This window comes from Homo sapiens, chromosome 4 (genome assembly GCF_000001405.40).
Source record: "Homo sapiens chromosome 4, GRCh38.p14 Primary Assembly".
NCBI lineage: Eukaryota > Metazoa > Chordata > Mammalia > Primates > Hominidae > Homo > Homo sapiens.
In genome coordinates, this window is record NC_000004.12 from 144277829 (window position 1) to 144294046 (window position 16218).

Genomic DNA, 16218 nt, shown 5'->3' on the forward strand with positions numbered 1-16218 from the left:
GAGATATCGATCATAGTATACAATTTTGTGCACTTACTGGTTTATGTATTCCAGCTCCCTATATTGTGCTGTAAGCTCTTTGAAGGCAGAAGTTTTTGTACCTCAGCATCTAATGCTGAGTGTAGATTTAGAGTAGATGTTAAATATTTAGGGTGTTCTTGATAATTTAAAGGCAATCAGGAGGTTCACTCTTACTGTCTCTTTCTTGTTTCATCTTAGAGATCCACAAGAAGGTAGGTGTCTTCACTGAAACTCTGCACTGCCTAAAGAGCTCCTTCTCTGCTGGAGCCCAGGAGATGGCATAAAGCACATTCCCCTTTCCCTAAAGCCACAGGCAGCTCCAGAATGCCTGCACTGAAGGAGGTTAAAAGTGGAAATATGACAAGAAAGTAAGAGTAGAAAGGGGACTTAAGGTTGTGTTTTAAAAGTCATATTTGCAGACCAGGAACGTTATTTTTATTGTGTGCTTATTCGGAGTGGCACATAGGGGTTTTCAGAGATAATAAGGAGATGGGCTAAAGCATCTCCTGCCAGCTCTGTATACCACTCACTGCTCTTGCTTCTCTGTCTTGTTTAAGCCTATCAGTATAACATTGTGGGCTGCAAAATACAAACATCTTGTCCTCTATGGCAGGTGAAATCTCAGAAGGACATAAAAGCATAGGAGAAACAAAATTTCTAGTTAATTTGGATTTTCCCTTGCACTGCACCAGGAAGTCTGACAAATTACAGTCAAAGAGGAACTTTTTTTGCCTTTTCCCAACCAACTCTACACACCTACACCTATACTTTTGATGGTTTTAAATTTTCTCCAAAAATTCTTTGAATTTCCTCTTTGAGAGGAAAATCTTCATTTCTCACTACTTGAACATGGGTTGTATTTTGACTTGCTTCTAACAAACATAATATGGTGGAAGTTACAGTGCGTCATTTTGGACGTGGTTATAGAAAACACTTTGGCCTTCTTTTTGCCCTTTCTTGGACAAGCTACACTTGGAAATATTCAAGTAATACTATGGAGAGGTTCATATGGCAAGGAACTAATAATTTCTATTAACACCCATGTGAATAAGATATCTTAAAAGCGGATTCATCAGCCCAAGTCAAGCCTTCAGATGATAGTAGCCCTGGCCATGAGCTTGACTGCAGCCTCACGAAAGACCATGAGAGAACTATCTAAAATACTGACCAGCAAAAGTGTGAGATAATAAATGTTTGCCGTTTTAATCTAAGTTTTGTGATAACTTGATATAGAGTAACAGAAGATTAATACAGTACTTATATTTTCTAAATCTCCTATACAATGCTGAAAAATCGGCAGCATTAGAGTGAGAAAAGATAGTCTGCGAATAGTAACATTTAATCTAACAGATCAGTAACTGAGTTTGTACTTAGTTCCTGGATAATTACTTGGCAATAAAGTCACATAGGTGAATTGAGACTTCTCCTTTTAGTTTCAGACCCTATCTGACTGTCTACATCCTATTTCTACTAGGATGCCTCTGGCAGATTCCTTTTGAAGATATTTCCCAAGGCAACAATTTTTTCCCATGATCCTTTGCCCTGTGACCGTGGTGCTCCTAACAAGAAGTAGAGTCTGTTTTTCTTTCCCTTGAATCTGGGCTGGTCTGACTTGCTTTGATGAATAGAGTATGGTAGAAATACAATTATCAGGCTCTTGTCATAAGAGGCCTGGCAGTCTCTGCTTTCATTTTCTTAGACTGTTAACCTGAGAGACTTCCACGTAAAAAGCCAGTCTAAGTGCCAGCCATCATTCTCCATGCTCCCCGAACAAGATAATGTCCTGCACTCATGTCCCTTCTCATGGTGAGAAAACAGTCTAACCTACTGGAGGATAAAATACCCAAAGAAAAAGCCAACAGTAGGTACCGACTTTAAGATGTGTGAATGAAATAGTCTCGTATCTTCCAGACCATGAAATGTTGGCTGAATGCAGCAACATAAGTGAGCTCAAGTTAGACCAATGGAAGAATCATTCAACCAGCCCACAGAATTGTAAGAAATAATAAATTGTTTTAAGCCACTTTTTTGAAATGGCTGGTTACACAGTAAAAGACAACTGCTATAGAGTCTATAGGTATCTCAAACTTAACAAGCACCAAATTGAACTCTTTATTCCCCCACCCAGATATGATTATCATCCTGTATTTTTCCTCTCAATGCTACCCAACTGCTCAAGCTGAAAACCCTGGTATCAACTTTATTTCCCCCTTTTTAAATACCTTTATCTAATCTGTCAGCAATTCCTATCAACTTTTCCTCCAAGGTATGTCCTAAATATGTCATTTTTACCAATTTAGATTTTTTGACTACTATGATCCTCCAAAATATCACCAACTTTTGCATAAATTCACAAACTAGCCTTTCATTCTCTCTACATTAGCCAATATGATCTTTTTAAAAAGATCATGGCACTTTCCTGCTTCATACCGTCTGATGGTTTCCTATCACGCATATTATAATCTTCAAATTATTTGCCGTAAGTTGGTTCCTACCAATCTCCCTAATTTCATCTTGTACTAAAAGTCTCCTTTTTTGAGTCCCAATGTGCAAGCTCTTTTGCCATAAGATGTTTTCACTTGCTAGTCTTCCTGCCTAAATTCCCTTGTTTTGGCTGTTCTTAGGCTGATTCTTCCAAGTTCTTCAGGTATCAGCTCAAATTTTCCTCAGAGATGTGATTCTTGACCACACAGTATAAGGAGTCCCTTATTGTGGCCAGAATCAATTGCAAAAAGCAAAAATTACTCTTGCTATATTAAAAGAAAAGCCATTAGGTACTTACCAAATTATTGGAATGACTGGGTAGGAGGTTCCATGTTAGGCTTCCAAAATGATTATAAAAACATCTACCAGCAGACTATTATTTTTGCTACATTTTGGAAACTGGGTTATCAGAAAGCACACTCCAAACTTCTGGCTTCAGAATCACACTATCTTAGCCATACACCCAAAAACCAGAAAGTGAATACTGCAGTTGTTACCTGCAGGAATATACCTGACATAATGTTGACTCAAGAGCTACTCAGCACTTGACAGATCCTTAGTAGCAAAATTTGTTGCCTCATGGTGACTGTCTCATGCTTAATTCATGTCTGAATTCAAGTCTTTTGTAAGTACAAAGATTGGTAGAACCTATATTACATCCAGAACTCTACTTCAAGGGAGTCTAAAAATAAAAATTTTATTTTATTTTGTCTTTGCAGCTAGAAGGAACAGTGGAAGGAGGTTGGAATAGATGTTGTGTGAACCACTTAGCCAAGTCTGCAATTCTCTCCCACCACACTCCTGCTATCTCCTAATGCTCCCTATTAATCCTCCATAAAATGTATTACTGTTTGAAATCACACATGCACACACACATGCCTATGTGGGTATGTGTAAAATTTTCCATTTTGTTTTCATTATATTGTGAAAAAAAAACCTGCCCATGTGTGCAAGGACATTATCTTGTTTCTAGCAGCACTTAGAATGATGGCTGGCACATGGTAACTCTTCGATGAATATTTGTAGAATGAAGGAATTCTAACCAAATAAATAAACAATAGTCTTTTTTTTTTAACAAAAAACAGTCATTTTATGATGCAGACGTTCTGAGGGATGATGTTACTATCAATGCTACGACCCTTTCTGACCTGACTCTCTAGCCATCAGGTTTAGCTCTGTTTACAAGCATTCCTTCTTACAGTCTCTTAATTTACACCCCACTAGCACCTCCATCCCTTGCCCTCTTAAGAAGGTTACTTCACCCCTTGGTGAAAGTTTTCTACAGTAATATCCCATGTGTTAGCAGAATAAGAACTGTTGTTCACCTGCATTCAATGTTAAAATTATATATGAGAGAAAACTAATGGTGGTAGGTATTGGCTCCAGTTCATGAGCAAAAATAAACAAAGGACTCCTATTTCTGCTTCAGTGTCCCCACTAATAAGGAGTGTGAACATCCTTGATCCTTATAGAGACTCATTTTGTAATCTTTTAAAGATAAGCATTACTTACCATTTAGTCAACAATATATTGAAGAAAGAATATTTCTCTAATTTGCATAATTCTGGCCCTTCCCAATAGATTTCACAATTTCTTATAAGCTCTTATAAGCTCTGCATCTGTGGAGAGCTCTGTGTCTGTGGAGAGCTCTGTGTCTGTGGAGAGCCCAGTGGTATGGAGAGTCCTGTGAGGAGTATCAGGTTCTTTCTTCCTTTCTCTGGAAACTGGTGTCATCAACCAAGAACTACACTGACTTTTAATGTCTTCCTTCTTTGTTAGCCAGGGCATGATGATAGTTCTGATTGAATTATTTTGATGCATTCTGGTAAATTTATGGGGATAGGAGAAATTGGGGGCTGCCATTTCTTGCCAGAACACTACTAAGGGTGGTTAGAGGTAACTAGAGTTTGTTCTTTGTAGATTACTTTGAGCAGTAATAATACCACCATTATTTTTCTCTTGTATATAACTTTAACACTGAAAACAGGTGAACATCAGGTTGGCCATTGGCTCTTCAGCCTGTAGGACCTTGGTCATTTGAGAAGCATCAAGGAAAGTAAAAGATGATGACCATCTCTTCGTCTTCATCTAACTTCAATTAGGTAAATGGGTTAGTTACTCACTGGGTATCATCTTGTCTACCCTAATTACAGGCCAATTTCATCTTAACATATTAGATAAAATATGTTCTCTCTTCCCTCTGTTTAATGTTTAATGCAACATTATTCCATGCTCCATGAACCTAATATATGAGTGTAAGCCATGGAAAAAGAATCAGAAGTACAGTAATCAGGTGGCCTGCTGAAGAGAAATATGAGGAGCTAAAGTTTTAAAGAAGAAAGATTAAACTTTGGAAGACTGAGCACACTATTATCTCAGGCTCAGCAGAAACAAAAATGATTCTTTCCCTTGAACCAGGGAGTTGGAGGTTGCAGTGAGCCGAGATCGCACCACAGCACTCTAGTCTGGTGACGGAGCGAGACTCCATCTCAAAACAAAACAAAACAAACAAACGAAAACAAAACAAACAAAAAGAAACAAACAATTCTTTCTTCCTAAATTATGGCTAATATTACTTTGCAAATAAGTTCAGATGAGAATAGATCTATGATATGGGATGGGGAAAAAAAGAATCAAGATGAAAAACTCACCTTTCTATGATTTTTACCTGGCATATTAACTATAATTAATAATTTGTGTCCTGCTTTTTAAACTTAATATATAATATAATTTGCTTATTTAAAAAAAAAGAAAAACTCACCTTTCTAATTGGAATATGATGCAAAGATGAGGATGATCATCTATTCTGAGAGATGGAGTGAAAGAAAGTTATAATAGATCCAACACGTACACCTTAAAGAAAGAAAAAAAAAGATTACTTGTGATTTCTAAAAAAGTTGAGAATGTTTATTACTCTTGGCAAAAGTGGAGCTGTAGCCCAGATGTACTAATTTCAACTTCATGTGAAAATAAGTTGAATGCATTAAAATGGTTCATATCTCATGGTGCCATTTTGCTTTTCGTGGACCAGTCCTAGGTCTAACTGTTTGAAATATGGCAAAGGAACTATAACTGCACCAAGAGAAGTCAAGGTCTGCAGTGCCAGCTCTACTCTAAAGCAGTCAGAGAGAACTACAGGAATGAGGACTTCCAAGACTTAGGCTTTGGTCAAAGTGGGTAGATGTTAAAATAAATGTTGATCTTTGGGGTTAAAAGGAAACTCGGGAGCTTACTATACAAAACCAGGAAGAGTCCTTGAAGCTTGTAACCTCCTTTTCAGAGTCTAGAAGTCACACATATGAGGCTTTAAGTTTACTTTAAAGTCTTCAGCCTGTGGTGGACAATAATGTGGTTTCTGTTTTTGCTTGCTAGATTGCCTGTCTGTGTTTATTTGCGGGTTGCAGCTAACTGATCACACACCGTATCTGTTCCATTGCGGTAGACCAGTGCTATTTGCTTTGTTATTTTCCTGGGGGTTGTTTGTAAAGTGTTTCCAGACGTCAAACAACTGGGCTATTCCAAGCGCTCTTGTTTTCTAAGCATTTAATCCACCTCTTCCAGTGACTTAGGTTGAAACTTTGAACTGTTGATTTAGGTGGCTAAAGTAATTAGATGGATAATGGGTGGAGAGATAAAGATAGATAGATAGATAGATAGATAGATAGATAGATAGATAGATAGATAGATAGATAGAATTTCTTTAAAAATAATTTCTGTTTAAGGAAATCTTGAGAATTACTTTGAGGGTTGTACATTAGGTTAGAGGGAGAAAAAAATAGATAAATAGTGCAAAATAACATAAAAGGGAGAGAGAAAGAGACAGAGACCAACAAACAGAGTGAAAGTCAGTTCAAGTGGGTGACTATAACCTCTGGCAAGAGATCAGAGAAACAAGTTCAACCCAAAGTCAATTTAATTTTATTGGACCACACTGTCTCAGGCAATTAGAAAAATATTTGTAAAACATCAGATGAGAAAAAGGAGTGTGGAGCCCAATAATGCCAAACAATGTTTATAAGAAAGAAATCATGAAGTGGGAAGAGTAAACACAATTATTCTATCAGCACCTCCTGTTCTTCTAAAGATTACTTAACTTACATTTAGAGAATTCTGAACAAACAACCAAAATAGTTTCTTGCTAACATACTCCTACCTCCAAAGTAGTTAGTTTTAAGAATTAAAAAAAAACCGAGAAATTTTCAATTTTGAGGAATTAGAAATAAATGAAATTATCAATTATTTTTAGGCCGTCTGATAATAGCAAGCCAAAAAGAAAATAAAAAATGTCTTTATGGTTCCCATTTGCCCTTTACTTTTCACTTTGAGTGAAAAACTACTTGATAATGGACACAAGTGATAGCCCCAAAGTTGAGGCTATAGTTACAGGCTTATTTAGAGAAGAGAATGCACTTCAACTCTTTATCCAGCCGCATGAACTTTCAAGGTTCTTCATAGTGCATGTAAATTTAATTCAACTCAGTGGTATTGGACAGGTTAGCTTGTTTCACCAATTTTTACAGCTTATGAAGCTGACAAACATGAAGCCCTGAAATCAGTTTCATCTTGTAGCTCATACACCACCACCACCACACACATACACACACACACACACACACACACACACACACACACGAAATATTCATGGTCTTTCATGATGTGTCCAATTAACAGTGGTTCTGCATGTAATATTTTCCTCCTCCTAATTCCTCTTTTCAAACCAGGCCCCAGTCTCTTTAGAGATCTGTCCTTGTCACTCCCTATCCTTTATCTATTCCCTCCTAATCACCAAATGCTGTACCTGGTATTGGAAAAATACCGGTCATACAGTTTTCTCCTCAGATCACAATGAAATATACTATCTATGCGAAAACAAAATGAGACTGAAGGTTGTGTTTCATTTCTACCATGGATGTTCCAATTAATGATCACTAAATATGTCAACCCTCAAATAAGTTCTGCTTCTCTGGAAAACCAATATGCATCAAAATCAATGCCAGATCCTCCTTATTTAAAAAACAGACTATAATGAAATGCACATATATATTTTTATATATGGTGATTTTTCAAAAATTATTAGGTTATAAAAATTCAGATATCTAAGATTTCTAATACTAATTCTATTCTTCAACATTTCTAGTCTGGAACTTCATTTGTGATCATTATTCCTTGAAATCCAATGAGCCTCTTGAATTTTAAAAATGTTTTTAAAGGGGAAAGAACCATAATAAACTATTACAAGTTTACTGTGATGACATACAATTAGTAGAAAAATTTGAGGATGGTTACATACCTAGAGTGAGAAAATACTGTACAATCAGAAATACCAACTAAAGAGTAAGCTGACATCCATGTATATCTGTGTGTGTATATCCATGAGTCTGTTTGTGTTGGGGGGAGTGTTTCCTTCTGTATCCTTCTGCTTTATGTAGTTTTAGAATGTGGAGTATTTATTATGCCCTCTAGTCAAGACCATGGAAGAGAGACATTTCCATGGTCCCCTGGTCACTTTTTAAGTACCATTATTGAGTCAGTGTTCTTGGAAGAGACTGATGTGGTAAAAACATTTCTGTTAATTTCCCCTGAAGAATGTCACATTGGGTAATGTTCTGTGGGTGGTCATGTAATGAGACACTGGTGTCTGTCTATGGCACATACTGTATATGAAAGGAGATATAGATAAAGGTAACTTAAATTCCATCCCTCTCTTTGTTTATATGATGCTTATCACCATGCTATCTAGACACCCAGGCTAGAAGCTTTATAACAAGTACATTTTCTACCTTCATTCAACTGCAATCCATGGACAATGGGTCTGGTCAGGCTCTTGAAGGGTTAATATTCACACATGCTTTTGGGTAGTCAGAGATGAAAATGGACTGACCCTAGCAGCAAAAACTTCCTCATTTTCAATAATGTAAGCAACTGCTTTAGTGGGATACCACTGAAAATGAATCTTCTATGTTATATTCTAAGTGCATTTGCAAGCATGTAGCTATTTAAACCGTTTTTACCTAACCTAGTGACTTTTAAAAATATATAGCTATTCACAGTCCTAGTTTATTTTGAAGATGAACAGCATGAAAAATTTAAAAGGAGTTATTTTCCTGTAGAAGAGAGCAAGTGTTATAGCAACTCTGTATGTCTGTGTGTGTGTTATAGCAACTCTGTATGTCTATGTGTGTGTGTGTATATATATATGTATATGTACTTTTTAACTTTTTAACATATATATGTATTTTAGTACTTTTATGTTAAAAGTTATATATATATATATATAAAATACTAACATAAAAGTACTAAAAATGCTCTATTCCTTTTTATGTAAATATAATTTTTAATAACACTAACCCCCAGATATTATCCTCTCTGTCACATCATGGAATTGACACAATACAGCGTGTTGTTAAGAGCAAACATTACTAAGTCCAATTGGACTTTTTACAAAGTCAAATTATAACAATAATGAGACTCTTAGAACACCTGTATTTTCTTTTGGAGAGTCTTTCACTTCCTTCCTCTTTCTAGCCTCTAACTTCCTTTGTTTTCTTTTAGTCTTGAACTGTAACTGGGAAATTCTGGAATGTAGATTTATTCTCCTTGACCTCAGCTGTGATTAATCCACCCGAAACAAAGATCAACTTCTGGCAAATACTAGTTCCCTTTCCCTTATATTAATAATGCAAATTCACCTAGTTGTTTGCAGTATCTGGTTTAGGTGTGGTTGAAAAAGAAAATCCAGAGAGCAAAGATGCAAGAATTATCTGTGATTCATTTAACAAACACATATTGGATATTACTTATGTACAGGTACTGGGTAGGCCGTCTATTTGATTAATGAATATTAATTATACTGCATTTGAAACTCTGAAATGCAAATGAGATTGAAGAGGATGATGAATGGCTTACAGTCCACATTTGTAAGCCCTGTTTTTGTTCTACCACCATATGGTATAGAAACAAAATTATTATTCTCTTTGGGTGGGAGGAGATACTAGTGTAGATTAATCAAATACACTGGCAGCTAAGATGAATGAAACTCAGTTAATACTAAAACCTCATTGGAACCATTAGTTCTGAACTCTTTATCAAAACTTTTACCAGGGCTGCTAACAATTAACAAAATTGATGAATCTGAGTTGCAGTCTTATGCCTTTCTTCTACCAGCCATTTGTCAATCAATAGCTTTTATTGAGAATTCACCATATACAGGACAATGTGGAGGCTTGGAGCCTCCAAATCCCGTTGAGGGAAAATAATTTAAATAAGTGTTAATAGACTTAGTGAGACAAAGTTGTCACTTTTAGCTCAATGTCACTATTAGTTCAATGGTTAAAAGACAAATTTCTTTTACAACAGGCCTTCTCAGGGTCTCTAATCTTCTAGCACATTGTTAATATTGAAGAGGAGGATTTAATATTCAGCATTTCCTTTTATTATTCTTTGTTGTCCAGATACTAATTAATATTTCCTAGAAATCATGTTCCACAAATCTCAATAAATAGGAGCTGTGGTCTTTGCTTTCTGAGATGTTAATATCACTATTGTAGAGGTTATTAGAACCATAGAGTTGTTGTAGAATAAAAAATCATAGGGATTACTTAACCCAGAGTTCCCAATTCAAAGTGACTGTTAAGTTTTACTTTAATTCTCAAAGTCTGGCCCTCCTTCAGGCTTACTGAGTTAGAATTTGGGAGGATTAAACCAAAACTCTCAAGGTCCTGCATTAATTTTGATGATGGATGGGCCAAGTGTGGGAAACACTGTCCAGGACAAACCAGTCAATGCCCAAGTGAGGGCCAAGCCCTTTCAGAGAATCTTTAGGCCTCAGTGCAGAGGCGGCCCTGTTGGATGGCAGACTACTTTGCTTCCCTGCCCTCTCCCCATGTGTCAGAGAGGCTGACTGGATCCACATGCTGGCAACGCTAAGATCAATAGTGATGCAGACCATCCTACAATGACGAGCTGCAACAATCAATTACTCGTTGTCAGCATTTTGCATTAGAAAACAGAGTTAATGGGGTCCTTGGGCCAAGGGACCTGGTGTTGAAGAGGCACAGGAAACATTCATGAGACAAGTTGGAACTATGATAGTTATGTAAGTTAAGAAGAGGCAGAAGCTAGGAAGAAACAAGCCATGAGGCAGAAAAACAATAGCAGAATACACAAAGAGAACGAAACCATCCCAACATTTCTAAAACTATAGTATATACACCATTTGTATATAGTATATAGTATATACACCATTTGCTACCAAACCAGATGACCCTAGTGGTATACACCATGGCAGGGTACATTCAGCCTGCCTGGCTTTTTTTTATCTGTGGTTTGCAGTCTTGACTCATCTCTAAAGTTCATTCAAATAGAGTAATTTCTACTCTGTGCAGCCTTGGCTGCACATTGGAATCACCTCGGGTGTCTTTGAAACTACTGATGCTCAAGCCTTACCACAAAGCTCTTAATCTCTGGGGGTGGCTTACAGGCATGAGTACATTGTTTTTAATCATCCAGCTGACTCTAATATGCAGTTAAGGCTGGAACCTGCTGCTAGGAGAAAGAAGACAGAGAGGAACCTGCATTAAATTCCTTCCCCTCCATCAAGATGAAGATGGAAGTGAGCCATAGGCCACGGATGCCATTGTACTCATTTTTCCTGTTTAGTAAGGCAAATGTACCACATTTCTTTCCATATATGGTAATAAAAATGTAGTGTCCTTTAAAAATTATTTTGTTAAGGTGAAAACAAAAAGTGGGTTACTTTTTAAAAAATATTAAGTGACTAATAGAGCAGTTGGTCATCTGACATGGCAAAAATTGTGGTGGTGGAATGCAGATGAATTATATACAGATGTATATATATACAGACGGAATGCAGATGTAATATATACAGCATATGCAAATGTGCATTTTTAAAGTTTAAAAAGATGTATGGTGGCTCCTTCCATTTCTGAGACTACTCTGATGATGGGCTGATCATATAAGATCTAGTTTGAATTCTAGAATGACACTTCTGCACATAGTCTACAGTAGAAACATTGTTCTCCCGGATTAAAAAGGAAGCTAGACAAATCCTATATGAGCACCTATCATGCATGCACACACACATTATAAAACAAATATAAGCGTAACTAGCCTGCTGTATCCAATTGAATAAACAATGAATAGGTAAAAGTTAGTTTCTTACCTGTTTGAAAGATTTTATGGAACAAGAATAAAATGAATAGCAACCACAAAAGGGGTAAAACAGATTTAGTGAATAAAATGGGTTTGGGGACAAGACTTCAAGGAGGGTCATAGACTTAGGGTAACAGATGAGTGTGCAAATGAGGAGATGCTCTGCTTGACTAAAGGAAGAATGGGAGAAAATAGCACTGAATAAGGAGACATTCATTGGTAGGTGCCTATGTAACATCCATGACTCAGATTTTCAATATGCTTCAAGAGTTAGTTGGGAAAAATATTAGAATGTAAAAATATCATTACTTTGTAGCTAACATGTATTTAAAACTATGTTTAAGGCATATTTCTGAGTACTTTCTACCCTGTGACTCATTTATTCCTCCCAGCACATCCACAAAGCAAGGGGGAACTTGTGCCACAATATGCAGAGGAAGAAATGGAAGCCCAGAGATATTAAGTATTTTGTCCAAGGTTGGTACTTGTTAAGGCTTGGATTTAAACACAGACCTTAATCCTTAGGCTATAGTATAAGTATTATAAATATTTTTGAATAGTCTAATGGATGTGAAGGAGAAAGAGAAATCAAGTGGCCTCATTAATCCATTTCTCTAATCTTCAAATTTCTGTTTTGCAAGAGTTAAATTTTTTTTCTCATTAGAGTTGATACAGTAAAAATATGTGAGAAGAAAAATTTGGAAAAGAGCCTAGAAGTGGTGAAAACCCCACTATAGGAATTTAGAGAATCTGAGGTGTTGCAATGATTAGAAATGTGTGTTTTATAAAGCATATTAAAACTGAAGATGTTTATTGTTTAGTTATGTATTTACACTTTAAATTGATAAATGCATCAAAACACCGGCATGAAGCACTGTTTAAACACACTCCTAAAAACTTTCAAAGACCATGTCTTGTATGAAAATATGTAACTAAATATTTGTATTGTAAAGAAAAAAAAGGCTAAAAAAAGTTGCCAATCAATTTCAAATCAGTTTATCTTTTCCAAATGCTTCATAATCATGTCTTAAGGGAAAATATGTGCTTAATAAAATTCATTTTCCTAAAGGACCTAGAGGATGAGGAGGGTGGAGGAGTTGGCTCTTACAGCAGAGGAAACATCAATTTAGTAGAAAGACACCCACAATGATTGGAAGTATTGTTAGGGTAGAACTCTTTAAGATTGGGGATGATACCCACCTTCTTGACTAAAGACATGGAAAGATAAAGTACAGGGAAAGAGCTTTCTAGCTTAAGCATCTATGATTATTTCTGAGTTCTGTCTTCATTAATCTAATCTGATCTCATTGATCTTGTCTAAGGTTTTGATTACATTTTATTGAGTAGAAAATAAGTGTCTAGAAACATTTTTCAAATCATATATATTTTTGCTAATTTGCATCTTTGTGTCAATGGAAACATACAAAGATTCAGAATCTCTCTTCTCTTTTTTGAGTGAAGGGTAAATTTCCAGATATTTTTATTCTGGGTAGTAGAAACTTTAAAAAATAAATGAAAGACAGAGAACAGACATCCTCCGAGATACTATTTTGTATGATTTTGGATGATTCCAATTACAGCGTCAAGCTCGAATTTATCTCTCCATACTGAAAAGACATGTGCTTTTGGAAACCTCTATAATAATATGCTACATATAATCACAATTACATAATTATTCAATAAAAAATGATTACTTAAGTAACATTACTGGTTAACTCTGGTAATTACCTGTACGTGGATGTGGGTAAACAGGCATTTTTACCATAGCAGACAATTCTGTTTGGAAATATTTTTATGATGAAATTGTGGCAGTCCTGACCCAAGAAAACAAAAACTGCTCAAAACTTAAAAGGCACAGCTTTGATTGCTTCGTCTATGAATAAACTTTCCAGAATGCTTTTCCGATTTGGAAAGAACAATGTTGCAAGCTAACGAATCAAAGACAAATTGCTGACAATTTGTGTTGGGTTCATAAATAATTCAGCAGGATTTTTTAGGCTTGTCTGAAACTTTAAACAGGAGAGTGTCTAAATGAAAATAAAGTTGGGGAGCTAGATATGTGCACAAGAAAAATCATGCTTGCCTTAACTAATAATAGGGTTATATTAGCCAAGTTAGATTCTCTGGAATCACTGTCTCCCAGAAACTGGAACTGGAACAAGAACAGAGACATGGAGGGAGAGAGAGAGCCCAGAGCTCTTCACTGAAGAAACATCATACTTATACCCAACTCTGACAAGCAACTCCCTCCAAAAATATTTAAATTGTATAGGTTTCACCATAGGTTGTATGACCTACTTTGCTGATTTAGTTGAATGAGGCAACTAAGCTATTCAAGAAATTTTTCAAGAAAAGAAAGAAATACAAGCTCATCAATTTAGTGAAAAATAAGTCAAATGATTTGACTGAATAGATCTTCTGTTAGTCAAAGAGGGCCCAAATTGTTGGCTGGGGAGATAGACATAGCCAAAGAACAACTGGGGCAATTCCATACACAATTTCCCTAATGTTCTACTGATGAGTTAACATTATGAACATTACCTAGTTTACAACAGAAGTCAAATCAAAGGAAGATAGATAGATATAGATCGATCGATCGATCGATCTGCCTTTGGCATATATATATATATGTATATGTATATGTATATATACATGTATGTGTGTGTATATATATTGACTATATATTCTATATGTAAATATATTCTAAATGAGAATAAAGTTGGAGAGCTAGATATATACACAAGTAAAAGCATGCTTGCCTTAACTAATAATAGGGCTATATTAGCCAAATTAGATTATACATATACACACATACAGAAAATAAAATATTGATGGTGATTATATGTTAAGAATGAACTCATTCAGTGGAAAACTTTATAAACTTTTAAAATTATTTTTCTGCTTTATTTTGCTTTTTATATAAAAACTTGCCTCGTAAAATCTTGCTCAAAATTGAGTTCTGTGTACTTTTCTCTTTGCTTCTAAACTTGTTAAAGAGATGTAATGCTCTACCTGTAACTGTCAATATAGATCAATGCACAGTATACAATAGAATGAATTGTATTGATCTAATATTGGCCTATTTTTCTTATATGCATCTTTGTCCTCCGATCTATCACAGTGCTGCTAATTTCTTGGAATTTTTCAGCTAAAAATGCACAATAATCTATACTTTTAATGAGAATATTTCTTTGTAATGAATAAATGAACGTTAAAAATAAGCTAAGTATACCAAGAAGCAAATAAATCAAATTAAATTTGGCTGAAAAGAAGTTTATAAAATTGACATTCACCCCCAAACTAGCCTTTAAATTACTAAAAAAGACATAAATGCAAACATCACGTAGAGTGAATAACCAACACTGAGTGTCAGTTCTTTCTAGCTGTTTAGGTATGTGGCAATGAAATGACCCATGGATAAGAAAAATACACACGTTGGTTCTGTAATGTGCACTAAATAATCTGAAGCAGGGGCAGCCACACAAGTTCTAACACTTGTGTGAACACACAGGGATTCCACGGAAAGGGGGTTAAGAAGGCACAAGGGGATAGACTAATCTTTGGGGGAAAATAAAAAAAAATAAAAGAATGAGGTTTAAAATTCTCCAGATACCAGCAAATGAACTTCATCCCTCGCCTCCGTATCCCCCCAAGGAACAAAAGCCAAATAAATGTTGTCTTTGTCTTACCACTAAATACAGGTATGAATCCCAGAAGATAAAGAAAACCAACAAAAGCTTAACTGAGATGTTAAGGATATTCAGCTTTCCCTTTGATAGTAGAATATTAATTTATTTAAACTTATTTTAAAGAAAAACTAATGCCTGGTTAAAAGGTAGTTATTTATAGGAAATTTTTTCATGTTGGTGGGTGAATAATAAAACTTTGATGGAAGATTTAATGTTTAATTTTTCCAATGCTGTACATTATTTAGTTTTCCAAAGTTTTGAATTATGATGGCAATGTTTTTAGACAGGTCTGATTTTGTAAAATTGATGTTCAGTAATGATGATGCCAGATTTAAACTTAGCTTGAAAAGGAAATCTGTGTGTAGTAGAAGTCTGGAGCAAGATCAGATTCGATTCGCGAAATGTGTTACACATTAATAATGATGACCTGTTTGTTACAGTGCTTTATAGCGTTCAAAAGTTGTCACATTTGTTATCTTCTATGCTGCTCACAAACTCTGTTACATTAGAAAAGTGAATTATTTCCATCTTACAAATGAATGAACAGGTTCAAAGAGGCTAAGTGGCTTTTCTCCCTTCTCTGGTATCTCTTTATAGAGTCCAGTGGCCTGTGGTTTAGTGTAGGGACATGGACAGGAGGCATGGATCTTCTGTGTCACCAGTCAGGCCTCTGGCCTACCTTTGTCATTTGGAAGCCACTGTGGGTTACAGTCCTGTTAATTGGCCTGTATTGTGAGGGTCATCATGGAGTGGAGTAAGGAACATAGGAACAGTCTGAGCTTAGATAAGGTGGTACTGCTTAGAACCTAGACACAGATATATGGATACCATGAGGCCAGAGGATTCAGTCTGA

General features: G+C 35.8%; 1 long non-coding RNA gene across 2 annotated transcripts in view, besides 1 other annotated feature; it reads right to left on the bottom strand.

Annotated features, from left to right (window-relative positions):
• The window catches only part of LOC105377462 (uncharacterized), a 360687-nt gene that overhangs the window by 76368 nt on the left and 268101 nt on the right, over positions 1 to 16218 (bottom strand). For both annotated transcript variants that reach the window (XR_939273.3, XR_939272.3), the window contains one exon: positions 5267 to 5358. This is a non-coding gene — a long non-coding RNA (uncharacterized LOC105377462). The remainder of the gene's footprint in view (positions 1 to 5266; positions 5359 to 16218) is intronic.
• Positions 10225 to 10748: an enhancer, noted in NCBI's record as "NANOG hESC enhancer chr4:145209206-145209729 (GRCh37/hg19 assembly coordinates)". NCBI's record gives its function as "activates a minimal SCP1, AML or CMV promoter by ChIP-STARR-seq in naive H9 embryonic stem cells {active_cell/tissue: H9 hESC(naive)}" and the evidence as "EXISTENCE:reporter gene assay evidence [ECO:0000049][PMID:30033119]".